At 57.2% G+C, this 17,788-nt stretch overlaps 1 protein-coding gene across 18 annotated transcripts in view, besides 2 other annotated features; it reads right to left on the reverse strand.

Moving 5' to 3' along the window:
* WIZ (WIZ zinc finger) overlaps positions 1-17,788 on the reverse strand; it is a 29,979-nt gene that overhangs the window by 10,655 nt on the left and 1,536 nt on the right. For 4 of the 18 annotated variants that reach the window (NM_021241.3, NM_001439249.1, XM_047439178.1 and 1 more), the window contains exons 2-3: positions 17,471-17,735; positions 6,174-6,497 (exon numbers count right to left, since the gene is read on the reverse strand). In NM_021241.3, the coding sequence (NP_067064.2) occupies positions 6,174-6,497; positions 17,471-17,675 (529 nt within the window). In that variant the 5' untranslated portion in view covers positions 17,676-17,735. Of the gene's footprint in view, positions 1-379; positions 551-1,801; positions 2,130-2,532; positions 2,679-6,173; positions 6,498-7,945; positions 10,084-12,043; positions 12,117-17,470; positions 17,736-17,788 lie in introns of those variants that run through there. The other 14 variants (NM_001439242.1, NM_001371589.1, XM_047439175.1 and 11 more) reach the window with 8 other exon arrangements.
* Positions 1,015-1,613: an enhancer, noted in NCBI's record as "H3K27ac-H3K4me1 hESC enhancer chr19:15542458-15543056 (GRCh37/hg19 assembly coordinates)". NCBI's record gives its function as "activates a minimal SCP1, AML or CMV promoter by ChIP-STARR-seq in primed H9 embryonic stem cells {active_cell/tissue: H9 hESC(primed)}" and the evidence as "EXISTENCE:reporter gene assay evidence [ECO:0000049][PMID:30033119]".
* Positions 2,000-2,239: a silencer, noted in NCBI's record as "silent region_10279". NCBI's record gives its function as "represses an Ori minimal core promoter by ATAC-STARR-seq in GM12878 lymphoblastoid cells {active_cell/tissue: GM12878}" and the evidence as "EXISTENCE:reporter gene assay evidence [ECO:0000049][PMID:35858748]".

A 17,788-nucleotide genomic window follows, 5' to 3' on the forward strand; every position in this document is an offset into this window, starting at 1 on the left:
CCACCCCAGGGCCCGTCACTAGTCAATAACAACCTTAGGATCAACAGACGAAGAAATGGTGTCATGCGAGAGACTGCACAGCTAGCAAAGGCCAGATTCAGCAAATGAGCTGGGTCTGAGTATGAGCTCTGGACCACCACACCCACTGCTTCTGGATGCTGTCCCTCGCCCCGTGAGGGTGCAGCTCAGGGCCACGCATGCCCAGGACAGTAGAAGTTCAAGAGAGAAGACAGCTGAGTGCCAACCTTGGTGCCTCAAGGTGCCAGAGGGAAAACTGCGGGCAACCTTGGGCCCCACATTAACCCCAAGGCACGAGAGTGCTCCTGTGAGTGTAACCAGCCTGGCCAGCATCCCCTGCCATGCCACCTGGGCCACTCACCCTTGAGGTCCTGCAGCTCCTGTTTGCTGCCATGAGGAACCTCTGCAGCCACTTTGCTGCTCAGCCGACTGGCCACCTGCTCCAGGGCCCCAGGGACAGGCAGGCTCTTCTTAGGGAGCGAGGGAGAGCCCAAGTCCATGGCCACCATTGCGTTTTCCTCAGAACCCAGGCCTGTGGGTTGGGGAGACAGGCTCAGCCCAGACAAATTTCAGGCTGTCTATACCCAGAACTAAGAAGATGGCCTTCTTCCTTATCCTTGATGTCCGCTCTCACTCTGCGAAGCGACTCACCCCAGGAAAGCTGAGGTTCCACCATAACCCCCAGCACCAGTCCAGTGCAGGGACACTGAGGCTGCCACTGACAGCAGACGCCAGCAGCTGCTTCCACACACTACAGCATGGACAGGTCTGGGGTCTAATGCAAATCTGAGCCCAAACTCCCATCCCAGGGGATCTCAAAGAAAAGATCTCTCTGGGCAGAACTTGTGAGGGGGAACGTCTGCCTGTCTCGAGGGTGAGGGTGGGAGGCACTCAGAGAGGGAATTCAACACAACACCAGGGTCAGGAGGCTGGAGAGGCCACACAGAGGCAGGGAGCCAGGGAGCCAGGGACAGGGAGGTGGCTTCACAGCACTTGTGAGGAATCTCCACCAGACAAGACAGCTGGGGCTGCAGAGACAATGGGGGACCAGGGGTGGCCTACTGATCACAAGCTGGGCCCTAAGTGGGGTAAGGTGTCTGCACCTACAGCTATCTGACTTCGGACAGAAAGAGTTGGAATCACAGAACTTTGTGTTAAGTTTCTGAGACATCTATCAGGCCCGCAGCATCCCTGGGTGAGGAGTGTGTGGCAGAGGGAACCAAGGGTGAATTTTCACGTCTAGTTGTTCAAAGGGGCCTGGGAGGCCAGTTGAACTCCAAATTTAGAGTTCAGAGCAAAGGATGAAGGAACTGTGCCAAATGGGGCCTTGGAGGCGTTCAGTGGGATGTAACGGGGCAGGGGGCCATGTAGGTTCTATGCTCAGTTTGAGTCTCGCAGAAGCAAAGAGTAGGCGCTGAGGACTGGGGCACCGAGGACTTTGTCAAAGTCTCCGGGTCGGGTGGGCGCGTCTGTCAGATGGGGCAGGGCTGAAGTGAGTTTCCGCACCGGACGGACCGGAACCGTGGCAAGGGACGCTCCCGGGGCTCCAAAGGGGGCAAGGGACATCTGTCAGACGGGGCAAAGGTCTCGAGGAGCGGCGGAGGAGTGTTTCTGAGGCCTGGGACCCTGCGAGCGGCGACAGAAGGCCCTGGGCCCACACAACTAAAGGGCCTGGGGGAGGGGGGGGTCCCGCAGACTGGACGGAAGGCGTCGGGGGCGGCGGCACCGGCAGGCGGGATTCCGACCTTCCCCTCCCCACACCCTCCCAAGCGCGGGCTCTTACCGGGCGCGGGAGCGGACGCGGGCCCGGGCCCCGGCTCCGGCTCGGCCTTGGGCCCGTCCCGCGGCGGCGGTGGCGGTGGCGGTGGTGGTGGCGGCGGCGGCGGGGGTGGGGGCGGCGGCGGCGGCGCGGGGGGTGCCGCGGGGCCCGGGCTCGGGGGGCTGGGCGGGGGCGCCCCCGCGGGCGCGCGCTCCCGGGCGCCCCCCGCGCGCGGCCCCGCCGCCGCCTTGCTCTCCGCTTTTGTCACTCGGCACTGGGCGGTGGAGGCGGCCATCTTGGCTCCGGCGCACGCGGGGCGGCCGCCCCAGGCGGGAGCAGCTGAGCGCCGAGTGCCGAGTGCCGCTGCCGCCGCCGCCAAACCCGCTCCGCCCCGCCCCTCAGGGCGCGCCCAGGTTGGCCTGCCGAGTGCCGAGCGCCGAGCGCCGAGTGCCACGAGCGAAACCGTTCGTCTGGGCCCTGAGGGCGGACGGCTGCAGCTGCTGGAAGCTTGTCGCGCGCCCTGGCTAGCGGATGCACCCACGCTGGGCGCCCAGCGGCCTCTAACCGCCGCCCCAGCCCAGTCCCCGGACATCTCTATCCCTAGGATGGGAATCTTCCGGCCTCACTCAGACCCCCTTAAACAACGTCAAAACTCTTAAGAGCCCCGACGGGCGGAGCTAGGACCTGCCCTAGGACCCTGCCCCATTCCCTTTCCGGAAAGTCTCCATCTCCGAGTCGGGGATCCTGGAAAACACCTGATCTCCAACCACAAGAATCCCTCCAGTATCATCCTGTTATCCAACCGTCCCCCGACGGTGCCGTTCCGCAGACCTAGGGAACCCCACAAGGCCGGCAACACATTTCAATCACCGCCTGCTTCTCTCTCCGATTGTCCCCAGCTGTTCCTTGACAGTTGGGTGGGGCTAGAATCGGAACATTGCCCCGCCCCCAACCTGGCACCCGCCCCCTCCTGCCCACTTAGGGAGAGGGGGCAGGCTTCTAACGACAGCCTTGCAGCGCCAGTGCCCAGACCTAGCCCTAATGTTGCATATCCTTACTTAAGGCAAGGCTTCCAAGATCTTCCCAATCACTCCCTAACCGCCAACCCTCTGCCTCGCAGTTATTCACTGAAAGACTGGTCATAGCTCTCCCTCCCAAGGACAAGGCCAGGGCAGTGCCAAACCTGGCTCCTCTCATCCGTAGGCTGATTCCTTATACCCCAGTGCCTCCTGCACCCCTAGCCATCCTCAGAGCCAGCTCTGTCTCGCAGCCACCCCTGAGACACTACAAGCCAGACGTGGGTGAGCTGAGTGCCTGGGGAGCAGCCTTTAGCAGAAGCAAGAAGCCTGAGGTCAAGTCCCCACTCTGCCCCTTCCTGAGGTGTCACCTCAACCAGCCCCTGTCCTCTCTGAACCTCCAAGGAGAGGGGGCTTTGATAGCCCCACCCTCCCCTTTGCAGGCTCATGAATGCCCTTCAAGTGGGCTTGTGAGTGGGTCTGACTGAGCCCAGAGTACAGATCTAGGTAGGACCCCAGCAGCTGCAAGTAGGAATAGTACCGAAGGGGCCGGGTGCGGTGGCTAACGCCTGTAATCCCAGCACTTTGGGAGGCCAAGAGGGGTGGATCACTTGAGGTCAGGAGTTTGAGACCAGCCTGGACAACATGGTGAAACCCCATCTCTACTAAAAATACAAAAAAAATTAGCTGGGCATGGTGGTGGGCGCCTGTAATCCCAGCTACTTGGGAGGCTGAGGCAGGAGAATTGCTTTAACCCGGGAGGCGGAGGTTGCAGTGAGCCAAGATCGTGCCACTGCACTCCAGCTTGGGCGACAGAGCAGGACTCCATCTTTAAAAAAAAAAAAAAAAAAAAGGGCCAGGCGTGGTGGCTTACACCTGTAATCCTAGCACTTTGGGAGGCCGAGGCGGGCGGATCACAAGGTCAGGAGATCGAGACCGTGCTGGCTAACACGGTGAAACCCTGTCTCTACTAAACAAAATACAAAAATTAGCCGGGCGTGGTGGCAGGCACCTGTAGTCCCAGCTACTCGGGAGGCTGAGGCAGAAGAATGGTGTGAACCCAGGAGGTGGAGCTTGTAGTGAGCCGAGATCGTGCCACTGCACTCCAGCCTGGGCGACAGAGCGATACTCCATCTCAAGACAGAGCGAGACTCCATCTCAAAAAAAAAAAAAAAAAGAAGGAATAGTATCAAAGGAAGCCCCAGCCTCCAGCAGTCCCAGGGGCGATACCCCCTGTTCAGACACTCTCCATTCCTCAGAGCCCAACTACTTTTTGTAGCCAAGTTCTCTGCCTTGTAAAGGCTCGTGCAAAGCCAGGCTGTGCAAGACTGGGCCCTTCACTTGTCCACTCCCTTTGCAGTGCCCAGTCCTGGGCTCCTTCACCAAATAGGACTTATGGATTTCCAAGCCATCCTCCACTAGAGACACCACCAAACAAGCTGCTCAGAAGTCTAGCTCTACAGCTGTGTGGCTGTGGCAAAGAAGATGACCTATGGTTTCCTTATCCTTAAAACAGGGACATGGCCGGTGCGGTGGCTCACACCTGTAATCCCAGCACTTTGGGAGGACGAGGCAGGCGGATCACGAGGTCAGGAGATAGACACCATCCTGGCTAACATAGTGAAACCTCGTCACTACTAAAAATTAGCCAGGTGTGGTGGCACGCCCTGTAATCCCAGCTACTCAGGAGTCTGAGGCAGGAGAATCGCTTGAACCTGGGCAGCGGAGGCTGCAGTGAGCCGAGATGGCACCACTGCACTCCAGCCTGGGCGACAGAGTGAGACTCTGCCTCAAACCAACCAACAAACAAAAAAAAACAGAAACACAGCAATCTTAGTTGTACAGACTTACATTGAGGCATAAATGAGATTTAACACGTTAAAATCTTAGTACAGGGGCCAGGCGTGATGGCTCAGGCCTCTAAATCCCTGCACTTTGGGAGGCTGAGGCAGGAGGATTGCTTGAGCCCAGGAGTTCCAGACCAGCTTGGGCAACACAGCAAGACCCCGTCTCAAAAAAATAAAAAATTAAAATTAAAAAACCTTAGTACATAGCAAGCATTTGATAATGGAGTAGCATATCAGGTCTGCCGGATAAAGCAAACATTGGTTGAAAATCTAGACTCTAGGCCGGGTGCAGTGGCTTACGCCTGTAATCCCAGCACTTTGGGAGGCCGAAGCGGGCAGATCACTTGAGGTCAGGAGTTTGAAACCAGCCTGGCCAACGTGGTGAAACCGTCTCTACTAAAAATACAAAAATTAGCCAGGCGTGGTGGTGCACGCCTGTAATCCCAGCTACTCAGCAGGAGAATCGCTGGAACCTGGGAGTTGGAGGTTGCAGTGACTGAGATCGCACCACTGCATTCCAGCCTGGGTGGCAGAGTGAGACTTCATCTCAGAAAAAATCTAGCCTCTAGGCTGGGCACAGTAGCTCACGCCTGTAATCCCAGCTCTTTGGGGGCCTGAGGCAGGCGGATCACTGGAAGGCAGGAGTTTGAGACCAGCCTGGCCAACATGGTGAAAACCCATCTCTACTAAAAATACAAAAGTTAGCTGGGCGTGGTGATGAGCGCCTGTAATCCCAGCTACTCAGGAGGCTGAGGCAGGAGAATCACTTGAACCCCGGAGGCGGAGGTTGCAGTGAGCCAAGATTGTGCCACTGAGCTCCAGCCGGGGCAAAAGAGCGAGACTCCATCTCGAAAAAAAAGAAAATCTAGACTCTAGATCTGCACTATCCAATAGGATCCCCACTAGCCTGGCACTAGCTTCATTTCAACTTCTTAACAGCCATACATGACCAATGGTGTCCCTGTAAGACGTGCAGATATCTAGAGAATATTTCCAGCCATCATCTCAGAAAGTTCTATACAACAATGCTTCTCAAGATAGAAGATGTCATTAACAGCAAAGAATCTGGGGCCCAGCTGCCTGGGTTTTAAATCCCTGTTTCACCCTTTCCAGCTGTGTGACCTCAGGCAGGTTAATTAAACTCTGTGCCTCAGTTTCCTCATCTGTAAAGTGGAAGAAATAATAACACCTGCCTTATAGGATTGTTGTGAGGATGTAAATGAGTTCATGTTTGTAAAGTGCTTAGAACGATGCCTGGCTCCCAGTAAAAGCTCAGTAAGCATTTGTCAAAGTCACTGGCAGGAAAGATAGTGAAAAACTGGATCCAGAAAGAGACCTGGCCCAGATCCTGAGTGAAACAGAAAGGACACCTAAATAGCAGGGTGGTTGTAAGGAAAGTCATCAACATACTTTGTAAAGTGACTCAAAATGCTTCCAGGAAAGCTGAGCGGCTGCCCCTCCAGCCCCGCCCCTCCAATGCTCTGGGCCCCTGGGAAGGATGGGGCTCCAGCACAGCCCGTCCCCTCCCCTTACCATCTCCATAGGCTGGCCCAGGGTCCTCAGCCCAGGTGGGTGGAAAGGGCACCGTGAGAGGTAAGCGGGGCCGACGGGAGGTCAGGAAGCTGCCAGGCGGACCCCCAGGCTCTCGGCCCAGGGGGCTGGGGGGCTGCTCAGCAGCAGAGGTGGCCAGCAGCTCCTGCAGGATGTTGATGGGTGAGACAGTGAGCTCCCAGTTGGTGATACCGAAGTCACGTAGGTGGGCCCGGGCGTGGCTGGAGAGGCCGGCCCGTGTGTCGAAGCCAGCCCCGCAGAAGTCACAGCGCATCAGGCTGAAGGTGCCTGGGTCAAAGTTGGCCACTGTGGAGAGAGGACAGGACTGCCTGAGGTGGAGAGGGGGCTACTCCCCAGCCCCAACCCCTCCCCATATTCAGGGCTTCACCCTGGACTGCCTTTCTTCCCCGTGGCTGTCCCTTTTGCTCCTGCCTGCTCCTCAGCTCTCAGCTCGTGCATCCTCCCACCCCATTCCAGGAAGCCTGACCCTCCCAGATACCCCCTTCCCACATCTGGCAACGTCAAGGAGGGACCTCTTCTGCAAAAACCCTTCTCCAGGGCCAGGTGTGGTGGCTCACGCCTGTAATCCCAGCTCTTTGGGAGGCCAAGCGGGAAGATCTCTTGAGCCCAGGAGTTTGACACCAGTCTGGGCAACATAGTGAGACCCCATCTCTATAAAAAAATTAGCTGGGCATAGTGGTGCGTGCCTGTAGTCCCAGCTACTTGGGAGGCTAAGGTGGGAGGATTGCTTGAGCTTAGGAGTTTGAGGCTGCAGTGAGCTATAATTGCCCCATGGCACTCCAGCCTGGGCAACAGAGCAAGACCCTGTCTCTTAAAAAGAGAAAGAAAGAAAAAGAAATGCTTCTCCAGTTGTGGACCTGCCATCATCTATGAGAGTATTTGATTAATAGCCTTCTCGTGACTATTTTTACTCATGATCACGCAAGTGCTGTAAATTAAATATTTGTTGGATGAAGAAATGGACAAATGGATGTAATGCCCTCTGCTGGGAGCCTTCTCTGAGCCCTGCAACTGGAGTTAGGGACTTTGTCTCAGCTTCCCCAGCCTCCTGGTTCTCCCAGCTTTCCCCGCATCTCAGCCCTGCTCACTCGGTGTCGTCACTGCCTGGTTTCCTGGTTGTCACCCCTTGCCCCCAACCCCTAGTGCGTAGACACACACACACACACACGCACACACACACACTCAAACACCATACTGGCACCTCCCCAAGTGGGCTTTGTGTCTGCCAATGTCAGAACCACCCAGGGTGCTCCTGTTGGAAACAGACTTCTGGAATCAGAGCCTTGTACTGTGGGAACTGACAAACCTTACAGGCAGCCCCAGGGGGTTCTGAAGCTGGCCAGTGTGGGGTGGAGGGGGTCCCACCACTCCTGGACTGGGCCATGAACTCCAAGAGTCCAAGAACTGCTATTCTGTCCACTGCTGTGTCCCCAGGTCCCCAGAACAGAGGGGAACCTTGCTCAGTAAATATTTGTTGAATGGAGGAATGAATGAAATTCTCTGCCTGAGGCTGACTCTTCTACCCACACTCCTTCCTCCAGTGGCTGGAATGGCCAGGGGACTGGGGCGTCTCCACACATCCACCGACCAGGTGGCCTTCACTGTGGCTCTCAAGTCTCTCAGGAGCAGAGGCCCCAGTGTCCCCCTGCTTGGCGCTAAGGGAGAGAATTTAGATCAACGGTGGGTTGCCCAGCCATGTGTCTCCTGGGCCTTTAAAAGTGAAGCTGCCCTACCTTTTTTCTTCTTCTTCTGGAAGGAGAACCTGCGCTCAATGGCCTTCACCTCCTCAGCGGAGATGAAATGGCGCACATTGTAGCTGACGCCCACGCGGTTCAGGTGGCCCCGGACGTGGTTGGCCAAGCCGATGCCGTTGTGGAAGCGATCGGGGCAGTAGGGGCATTTCCGCTCCTCGTGCTTCAGTGCCATGGCCGGATCCCCATCCAGGAGTGTGTCCAGCCCCAGCGGGCCGCCCAGCGGCGCGTCCAGGAGCAGGAAGTCCAGGGGGTGGGCGCCTGCCAGCCCCAGCTCCTCGGGCTGCAACCTTGGGGGCACCCTGGCTGCCGCCATGACCTGCGGCCCCAGCTTCGCCACGAGCACAATGGGTACCATCCCTCGGAGCTGCTGCTGCTGCCCCTGGGTGGCCTCTACTGCCTGCAGGGCCTCTCGGAATGCCTGCTTCAGCTCCAGGGCCGCCTGCGGGATGAGGCTGGGGGTGGCTAGGGGTGAAAAGACCCCATTTTCAGGGGAAAAATCCATCTCGGAGGTCAGCACTACATCCTCCTCCTCCTCCTCCTCCTCCTCCTCTTCGCTCCAAGGGCGCCTCCGTTCCCCCAGCCCTTGTGGGTGGACGGTGCTTTTGTTTCTCCCGAGCTGTAAGGAGTAGGGGGTGGATGCTAGTGTGGAGGGAAAGGCCAGCCTTCCGAGAGGCCTCTGGCCCGTGCCATGCAGGAGTGGCTTTGACAGCGGGAAATCTCTGATGCTCAGCTGCTGGCATCCTGGGCCAAAGGCCAGGCTGGGGTCGTATCCAGCAGGGTTCTCCCGCCACATGGGGGCCAAGGACGGCTCAGCTTTGCCAAAGTAGTCCACAGCAGTGTCAGGGAAGCAGGCGTGAGCATCCTGGCTAGTGCCTGGCTGGCTGGCAGGGTCTTCCTCATAAGCCTCGCCATCCTCCTCCCAGTGGGGATGGGCATGCACCAGCCTCACGTGCTCCCTGAGCAGGCTCTCGCTGGGCGCGGGGAAACCACAGAAGACACAGGCGCTGAGGCCAACGGCAGCTCCGTAGGGCTGATAGAGGAGGGCGCTGGCCTCAGGGCTGGGGCTGCCAGCCCCGCTGCTGCCTCCAAAAGGCTCTTTGGTGGTCTGGCCTGGGGGCTCACGCATGTGCAGCTTGGCATGCTGCACATAGGCCCTGGATGAATTGGTGCCAAAGACACACTTAGGGCACTGCAGCCGTGCCTCCCGGCCCTCGTCTCCTGGAACTTGCTTCAGCTTTTGGATCTCCTCAATGATCTTCTCCCGGGAGGCCTGATGCAGCTGCCGGTGCTGCTCCAGGGCAGTGGGGTCAGCAAAGGCCCAGCCACACTCCCCGCAGGCCAGCGGGGCCAGGTCCGCAGGGGGCTCCTGGCCCGGGGCTCGGCGGTGCTGGCTCATGTGCTCCAGGAGGTGCTCCTTCTGCTTGAAGTAGATGCTGCACTCGATGCATGGGAACACGGCCGGCTCCTCGTCCTCGTCCTCATCTGGGCTGGCCACCCCTTCGGCCACCTCCTCCAGCAGCTCACACAGGTAGGGCCCGGTCCGGATCGGGGGCAGTAGCGGCTGCAGCCGCTCCACAGAAGCCTCCGAGTTCACTGTCCAGGTCTGTGTGGCTACCTCCGAGGCTGACGTGGGTAGGCCCCACTCGGACGGCTGGGCCAGCCCCTCCAGGTCCTCCAGATCTTCTCTGCCACCCACCACCGCCATGTCCAGCGTCTTCGGGGTGTCTTCCACTGGCACAAACACCCTCCTGAAGGGGGCGAGGGGTGGCGGCTGGGCAGGCAGGTCCAAGTGCAGCCCTGCGTCCTGGGGGGATCCCTGCTCGTCCTCATCTTGGAGCCAGTCGAACCTGGGGCGGCCCTGGGCATGTTTCTCCAAAAGCCTTGGTTCCCCCCGGTGGTGTAAGAACCTTCTAGAGCCCTCTAGCTCAGCGTGGGGTTTCATGGTTCTCACAATGACTGAGTCCTCGAATCTCCGCTCAGATAGGATGCCCTCCCCAGCCTCCTGGACAAGGGGGTGCTCCCAGGGCCCCCGGCCATCAGGGGTACCTGGGAAATGGCCCAGGAGATGGGGTGGTGGGGAGCCCGGCCGGAAGTCCAGGCTGCCTCCATCCCAGCAGCTGCAAGGAAGTGCCAATGGGGACAGGTTAGCCATGGGCTGCAGTTTTCCTTCCTAGGGTGGTGATGGGGGTCCTCCCAGGCCGTTTGAAGCAGGCCCCGGAGATCCAGCCCGAGGGTGACAGGGGTGTGGGGGTGAGGGTGGGAGGTAGGGGGAGTCCACGTGGATCCTTCCGGACCTATCGGGTCAAAAGCCAGGTTCAACTCCTAGGATGCACCTGTCCACAAAGCCTAGCCCCGCTGCATTGTGGGGGAATGTACGGAGACCACCCCTGGGCCACACGGGGATGTGGCCACCTCTAAGAAGTCTGGTGGCAACAGTCAACTCTCATCTCTCCCCAGGGAGGACCCAAGCCTCTCATCTGTGCTCCAGGCTGCTTCTGTCTTGGTTCTCCCCAAACTGGGGTGATTTTGCTAATTTAGTTTCACCTCTCCCCCAGATTTGGCGATTAACTTTGTGGCAGAACAGTTCAAAGGAATGTTCCTTTTCCCTGCATCTCCCCCTCCAGAAAGGCAGAGTCAGGAGAGGTTGAAGGTCCCTGCTAAGCCTTTGGCCCCAGTGATCCTGACCTTCTTGGGCAGAGGGGTGGGAGTGGGGCTGGGGGAGGCAAGGTAACCACTCTGGGCCTCAGTTTTCCAATCCTGAAATTGGGGGTAATTCCCAAGAACTGGGAACCCCTTTGTCCTTATACAACATCTGTGGAGCTTTCTCATAGCCATCATCAACAAAAGGTGCTTGCAACACAAGGCAGGTGCTTCTTTAAATGCTCACAACCACAACCTTTCAATGACCCCGCAGGGTGTAGGGTGAAGATGACACAACTCAGTGCTTGAGAAATGCTTTGTTTCACCTCATGCCTGGCCCAGTGTGGGTTCTTATTATGACCATTTGAGATCGGTTCTCCCTTCCTTTTCAAGATCCTGCCTCCATCAGGGGATGCCAATCACGCTTATGGAACAGATGTGGAAATGTTCCATTCAGATGTTGGGTGGAGACCATAAGGTCACCTTTCTAAGCTCCATCACTGACATGCGATACTAAAAGGACCATCCTCCTGGGGCTGTGGCAAGGATTCAGTGGGGATAAACACATGTTCAGAGTGTAGCTCATAGCAGCTATTATTAATTAATTAATAATATTCTTGCTCATTCTGAGAGCTATTAGTAATCCTGATAAACTTACTATGACCTGGCCAGGCATGGTGGCTCATGCCTGTAATCCCACCTCTTTGGGAGGCTGAGGTGGGTGGATCACCTGAGATCAGGAGTTCTCGACCAGCCTGACCAATATGGTGAAACCCCATCTCTACTAAAAATACAAAAACTATCTGGGCATGGTGGCAGGTGCCTATAATCCCAGCTACTGGGGAAGCTGAGGCAGGAGAATCGCTTGAACCCAGGAGGTGGAGGTTGCAGTGAGCCAAGATCACGCCACTGCACTCCAGCCTGGGCGATAGAGTGAGACTTTCTCAAAAAAAAAAAAAAAAGATGACTATGACTTATTAGCACCTGCCAAGCCATTTAATAAAGAGTAGGGACCATCAGCATTGCTCTTGATTCCTGCTCTCACCCAATGCCCCTTGGATCCTCAAGGCGAATTCATGAGATGCATCTTATGGACTCCATTTTGCAGATGAGAAAACTGAGGCCCAGAGAGGCCTAGTATCATTCTAAGGGTCACCTGGCAGAGAGAGGACTTGAAGGGTCCAACATCCAGGCTCCTGCCCCTCTGGCCCTGCTCCTGGCAGGGATAATGAGAGTTGACCCTCTGTGTTCATTCCAGACCTCCCCCAACCCCAGCACACGCCCAGGGGCTTGCCTGCCGGGAGCTGACTCCTCCTCCTGCCTGGCCTCCTGATTCCCTCCTGTCCCCTTCTCATTCCCCAGGGGCTTATCTGAGGCCTGGGCATGTCCTGCTTGCCCCCCTGCCCTCCCTGAGGTCAGGGCCAGCATGGCACTCACCAGCTGCTGATCCGATGGGTGGCGGAGGTGACACGGGGGAGGGCTTCGCTGAGGCCGGGATGGGGCTGCCCGTCTGCAACAGAGAGGGGAGACCCTGAGGGGCTGGGGTCCCCCTGGCCGGGGCCCTCCACACCCCAGCTCCAGGAGCCCTGCCAGGTGCCTCAGAAAGGCCCTGCTGGCTCCCAGTTCCTCTCCCTGAGAGGCCCGTGGCCTCTGTGGTCCTGAGCCCTGAAAGGGGTTTCTTTGGAAGAGTCCCCTTGGCTCTCCTGGGGGACCCCAGGGCCTTGCTGCCTTCCAACCCTCCTCTCTTTCCCCCAACCCAGCAGCCAGGGTGGTTTTTTACAAGCCTCACCCTGGTAAAAACTCACCTGGCTTCTCATTATACCTATAATAAAAACCAGACTTCTATTTTTTGAGACGGAGTCTTGCTCTGTTGCCCAGGCTGGAGTGCAATGGCACAATCTCGGCTCACTGCAACCTCTGCCTCCTGGGTTCAAGCGATTCTCCTACCTTAGCCTCCTGAGTAGCTGGAATTACAGGCGTGTGCCACCATGCCTGGGTAATTCTTCTATGTTTAGTAGTGACGGCGTTTCGCCATGTTGGCCAGGCTGGTCTCAAACTCTTGACCTCAAGCGATCCACCCACCTCGGCCTCCCAAAGTGCTAAGATTACAGGTGTGAGCCACTGTGCCCGGCCTAAAAACCAGACTCTTAGCCGCCACCTACAAGGCCCTATGAGGTCAGACCTCTGCTGGTCTCTCCAACTTCCCCTCTCTCTCCTGGCCCTTCAATGCCTCCATTCTGACTGTATGGGCCTCCTCAGGAAGCCCCAAGCCCACCTAACTCTTTTGGGCCTCAGGGCCTTTGCACCTGCTATGCCTTCTGCCCAGGGCACTCATCTCTGACCGCCTAACTCAAATGAGCCCCTATGATTTTCTCTCTCAGCACCTGTTTCATTTCTTTCTTAGAACTTTCTGAAATCACCTGGCTCTTTCTTGGGATGACTGCTTGCTGGGTCCCCTACTAGCATGTAGTCACAGTAGACCAGGTACTTTGTCGGCTTCGTTCACTGCAGCATTCTAGCACCTGGCATGGAGCAAGTGCTCAGCAAATCCTTGCCAGATGATGAACGAGGCACCTGTTCTAACCTGAGCTGCAGAGAGCCCATCCCTGCCTTCTGCACCCTCTCCCAGGCCTATGTCCTGAAATCCAATCCCCTCCTGGGACCCCCTCCCCACCAACACAGATGGAGCCAACTCTCTATTATCCGCCTGTGGAGCCAATGCCTGGAGCGACCACAGGAATCCTGGCCTGCATCTCTGCCCGCCACACTTGCCTGACGTGGGTAAGCTTGCCAATCGGGGAGCAGGCCAATTGCCCGGGCCAAGGTTAACACACTGGGGGAACTTGTGCCCCGTCCAGAGCCCGACAGATGCAATTGTTGGATTAGCCTCAATTTGAGGATGGTCCAGAAAAAGGGATAGGGCTGGGGCGAATTCTTTTTCCAATCCCTCATCATCCAATTGGCCCGAGAAATTGAGAGCTGACTGCTGAGAGTCAAGGGATAAAAGTGGAGGTAGGGTGGGGAGAGGGTGTTGACCAGAAAGGTGTGGTCACTGGCTGAGGGTCCTTCTTCTGAACCCAAGAAAAGGGTTGTGACTGTTGTGTGACCTCTGGAAGGGGTGGTGGGGGTATGGAAATTTGCATCATCTACAGCGCAAGGTGTCTCAACATCAGCACCATTGGCATTTGGGGCCAGATCATTTTCTGGGGTGGGGTCCATCCTGTGCATTGCAGAATGGTGAGCAGCATCCTTGGCCTCCACACCTCCCCAGCCCTCGGTCATGACAACCAAAATTGTCACCAAACATTACCAAAGTGTCCCCTGGAGGGGGAGGCGAATCACCCCCATTTGAGAACCACCAGGATACACTGATGGGCAGCAGAGCTGTGCCTGGGTGCAAGGGCTGGTTTTAGGATGGGGGTGTTGGAGAGGGCGTTCAGAGTTGGGAAAGAAAGGCCTGGCCCAGCCAAGAAACAGGGGCTCTAGAGAACATGTGAGTCATAGATTTGACTTTTTTCAGGAGAGGGCAGCCGGTTCACATATAACCTGCCCTAGCATGACCTAGAGGTGTGGGTCTGAGGGTCCCGGGCATCCTGCTTTTGAGGTTCTAGGACCCCAAGCTCCCAAGATTCCGGGCGTCCCAGATTTGATGATTCTGCGATTGCTGTTGTCTAAGAATTCCAAGAGCCAGGGGACCGCGTGGCCTCTTTGTCTGAGCAATTCCAGCGAGGCTCCTATTTTTAGTGGCAGTGACTTTGGAGGAAGCAGGCCAAGCAGTGCCCTGTGTCCAAGACACCTTGGGGGTGGGGGCTTCACCCAGAGGCCTCCACAGTTGATGGGGATCCAGGAGTCCCTACGGGTCAGATGAGGCGCTAGGTCGCAGCCCTTAGGCAGTGGCCATGCCAAGGGGCCCTTGTTGGCTCCTGCCATCTGGGTTCCCCGAGAGAGTTTGCAAATGCTGATGGCAAGGGGTGTCCATAAGCAGCCTGAACTCCAAGCCTGGGGTTCAACTTGGTAGAGTGGCCAAGAACCTAGATTCTGGAGCCAGACAGATCCGAGTTCAATACCCCAGGGGTGCCCTGAAGGGCGTGCCTCTCCCACTCCGAGCCTTGGTTTCTTCCGCTGTGCAATGGGAACAGCCACCGACCCAGTCTCGCAGGGCCAGCAATGGGTGCCAGCAAGATTGTAGTAAATGCTCCATCCAGAGAAGTGGCGGTGGAGGGGAAGAAGGCTGGTGGGAGGCCTGGGGGATCAGGGCTGGTTCAGCGATGTCTCAAGGGGGAAGCTTGAGGCTAGACCCCAGAGCCTCAGGTCCGGTCACTCCATGCTCTGATTTTCTCCCCAGGCTGGGGCCTCAAGACAGCAGAAATGATATGTCATTTGTCCCTGGGTGCCCTGTCCCCAACACAATGCCAGGCATGTACCAGACTCTTCATCGATCCATACAGACCACCTCAGCCCCTGAGTCTTTTCTGAACCTGGGAGGCCCAACCAGAGAGGCAGGAGCTGCAGAGGGGGTGTGGGAGCTCTGGGTAAACAGCCGTAACGGGGGACAGAGGAGGCAGCGGGCACACCCCTGCCCAGGCAGGGAAGTTTGGAGGTGGCCACTCCAGTGTGCTCTTGGGGGGCTCTGAGGGCTGAGTGGGGATAAAGGAAGGCCCAGGCTTTGGGGTGGAATAGCAGCCCCAGAGCCTGTTCCTATTTATAGGCATCACAAGACTAGTAGGGCAGGTGCCCGTGTCCCGGAGGGGGAGATCAAGCGGGCAGAGAGGGCAGTGGGAGAGACGTGGTGTCCCAAACCCAGGCATTCTTCCAACATTCAGGCCATGACCTCACTCCAAGTCAAGCCATTCCTATCCCTGCCCCCAGCTGCTGAGGGAAACCTTCAAGGGTGGGCCTGGCCCCCCTCAGCAGCCACATTTCTCTCTTCCCCAAGCTATAAAACAGATGCACGTATGAGACCCTGGGTGATTCCCCAGTGGGAGTGAGGATGCACCTACCTGCCTGCTTTTCCCCTCTCCCCAGACCTGGGGCATCTGCGAGGTAGAGAAGAGATGTCCAATCCCTCGGAACCAGACCCAGAGAGGACCCTGGGATCCCTAGAGCCTGTACCCTCAGGCTCCCACAAAATCAAAGTCCCCGCCCAGCCCTGGCCGGCTGTGCGACCTGGCACAAGATTCTGCCTCTCTCTGAGCCTCAGTTATTAACTCAGTTATTAATGGCTTAGAGGAGGGGATTGCTAAAGTTTCCCTGAGTGCTGATACTCTGGAGTTGGGTGTACCCTCTGCCCTCAGGGGTCTCACCTTGCCACCCCACTGCCTGACACCTGCAGATGCCACCAGCTACCTCTAAGCCTTGGCATGTACACAGCCCCCTGCCTAGATGCTTGCTTCCCCCTTGGTCTGGCTCATTGTCCCTCATCCTACCTCTCACTTCCTGCAGGAACTCCTGGTTGCTCCCCACCAGGTGCTTTCCTCATCACAGCCCCAGCCGCTGTGTCATAACACCTGGTGACATAACACCGGGTCATAACACGGTATCATAACATCTGTCTCCCCAGCCTCAGATGGTGGGGTCTATGAGAGCGAGGATGGTGTGTGCTCAGTCACCGCTGTGCCCCAGGGCGTGGCCCCTAGAAGATGCTGTGTATTTATAAATATCCGAGCATCATGAGTTGTAAAGGTGGCCAGAGCAGGTCAAGGATCTGTGAGGATGCAGCAGGGTGGTTAAGAGTGAGGGCTGTCAAGCCATGTTACTCCCTGGCTAGGTGACGTTGGGCAACTTATGTCACCGCTCAGGGTCTCAGTTTCCCCATCTCTGACACGGGATAATAATAATGAAGGCTATTCCACAGGGTTCTTTGGAGAATGACAGAAGATGATCTTGCAAAAGCCTTGGCACGGAGGAAGCCCTTGATGAGGTGTTTGGAGATGGGGGTGGGGGGTGTGATACATCAGCCCACTGTTTTCCAGGCATACCAGCCTCCTACCAGGTCCTTGGACACGTCAGGCTCCTCCCCACCACAGGGCCTTTGCACTGGCTGTTCCCTCCACCCAGAATGCCCGTCCCACCATTCACTCCATGCTCCATTCAAATGCCACTCTATCAGGGAGGGTCTCCCAGGTCTCCCAGGCATGATCCTGGCACTCTGTTTAATGCCTTCACAGCATCTGTCACTACCTGTCCTTCTGATATTTGTTTAGTTGCTTGTTGTCCATTTCCCCTACTAGAGTGTCAGCCCCTTGAGGGCAGGAATTCTTGCCTCTTTGGTTTACAGCTGTCTTCCCAGTGCCTAGCACATACCCTGGCACACCGAAGGTGCTCAGTATTTAATGAATGAATAACACGTCTGGAGGTGGGGAGAGTGTGAGATACCTTTTTGCTGGGTAAACCAAGGGGTAGCCAGCATCGCTGACTACCCAGCCTCTCCCTAGCCACTACAGAAGCTGTTTTGGCCCGTGGTTCAGGAACAGGATACACCCAGACAGCCAGAGGGAGCTGGGATAGACTGATGGGAGTGGGGAATACCTGTGGAATAAGTGGGCTGGGGGCAGGGAGTCTGGGGTGCTGAGATGGGCCTCTGGACCCAATTAGTATGCTCAGAGGAGGAAGCCAGGCTGACCTGAGTTCAAGTCCCAGCTCCATACCACCCAGTGGGGAGCCTTGGTCTGGTCACTGGCTCCCAGGACACCTGTTTTCACAACTGTCAAATAAGAAACTAAACAGAGTACAAAGAAAAGGCTCTGGACCCAAGCGGAATCAGCATCCCAGCTCAGCCGCTGCTGCGCTGGGTGACTTGACTCTCTCTGAGCCTTGGGGAATGGGCTGGATGCTCCCTGGGGGCCACACGGCCCATTCTCTTACCAGAGATGCCACCTCTGCCATCCAGAATGTCTCGGGGGCCCTCCTTGGTGACAGGCAGGTAACGGGTGGACCGGAAGATGCCACCTTCCCCCTCAGCAGCTTCGGCCCCACCCTCGATGTTCTCCCTTGGCGCCGGGCCAGGCAGTCTCTCTGGGCCTTGGGGACGATCTGGTGCAGCCAGGCTGCCTGCCAGAGACCCCTCCATCGGATTTTCTCTGCTTGGATCCACTCAGCTGCTGCACCGGCTCAGCGGGGCATTGTGGGCCTGGGGATAGAGAGAAGGAAGTGCTTAGGGGATGGAGGAAAGGGAATCTGCCT

This window comes from Homo sapiens, chromosome 19 (genome assembly GCF_000001405.40).
Source record: "Homo sapiens chromosome 19, GRCh38.p14 Primary Assembly".
Taxonomy (NCBI): Eukaryota; Metazoa; Chordata; class Mammalia; order Primates; family Hominidae; genus Homo; species Homo sapiens.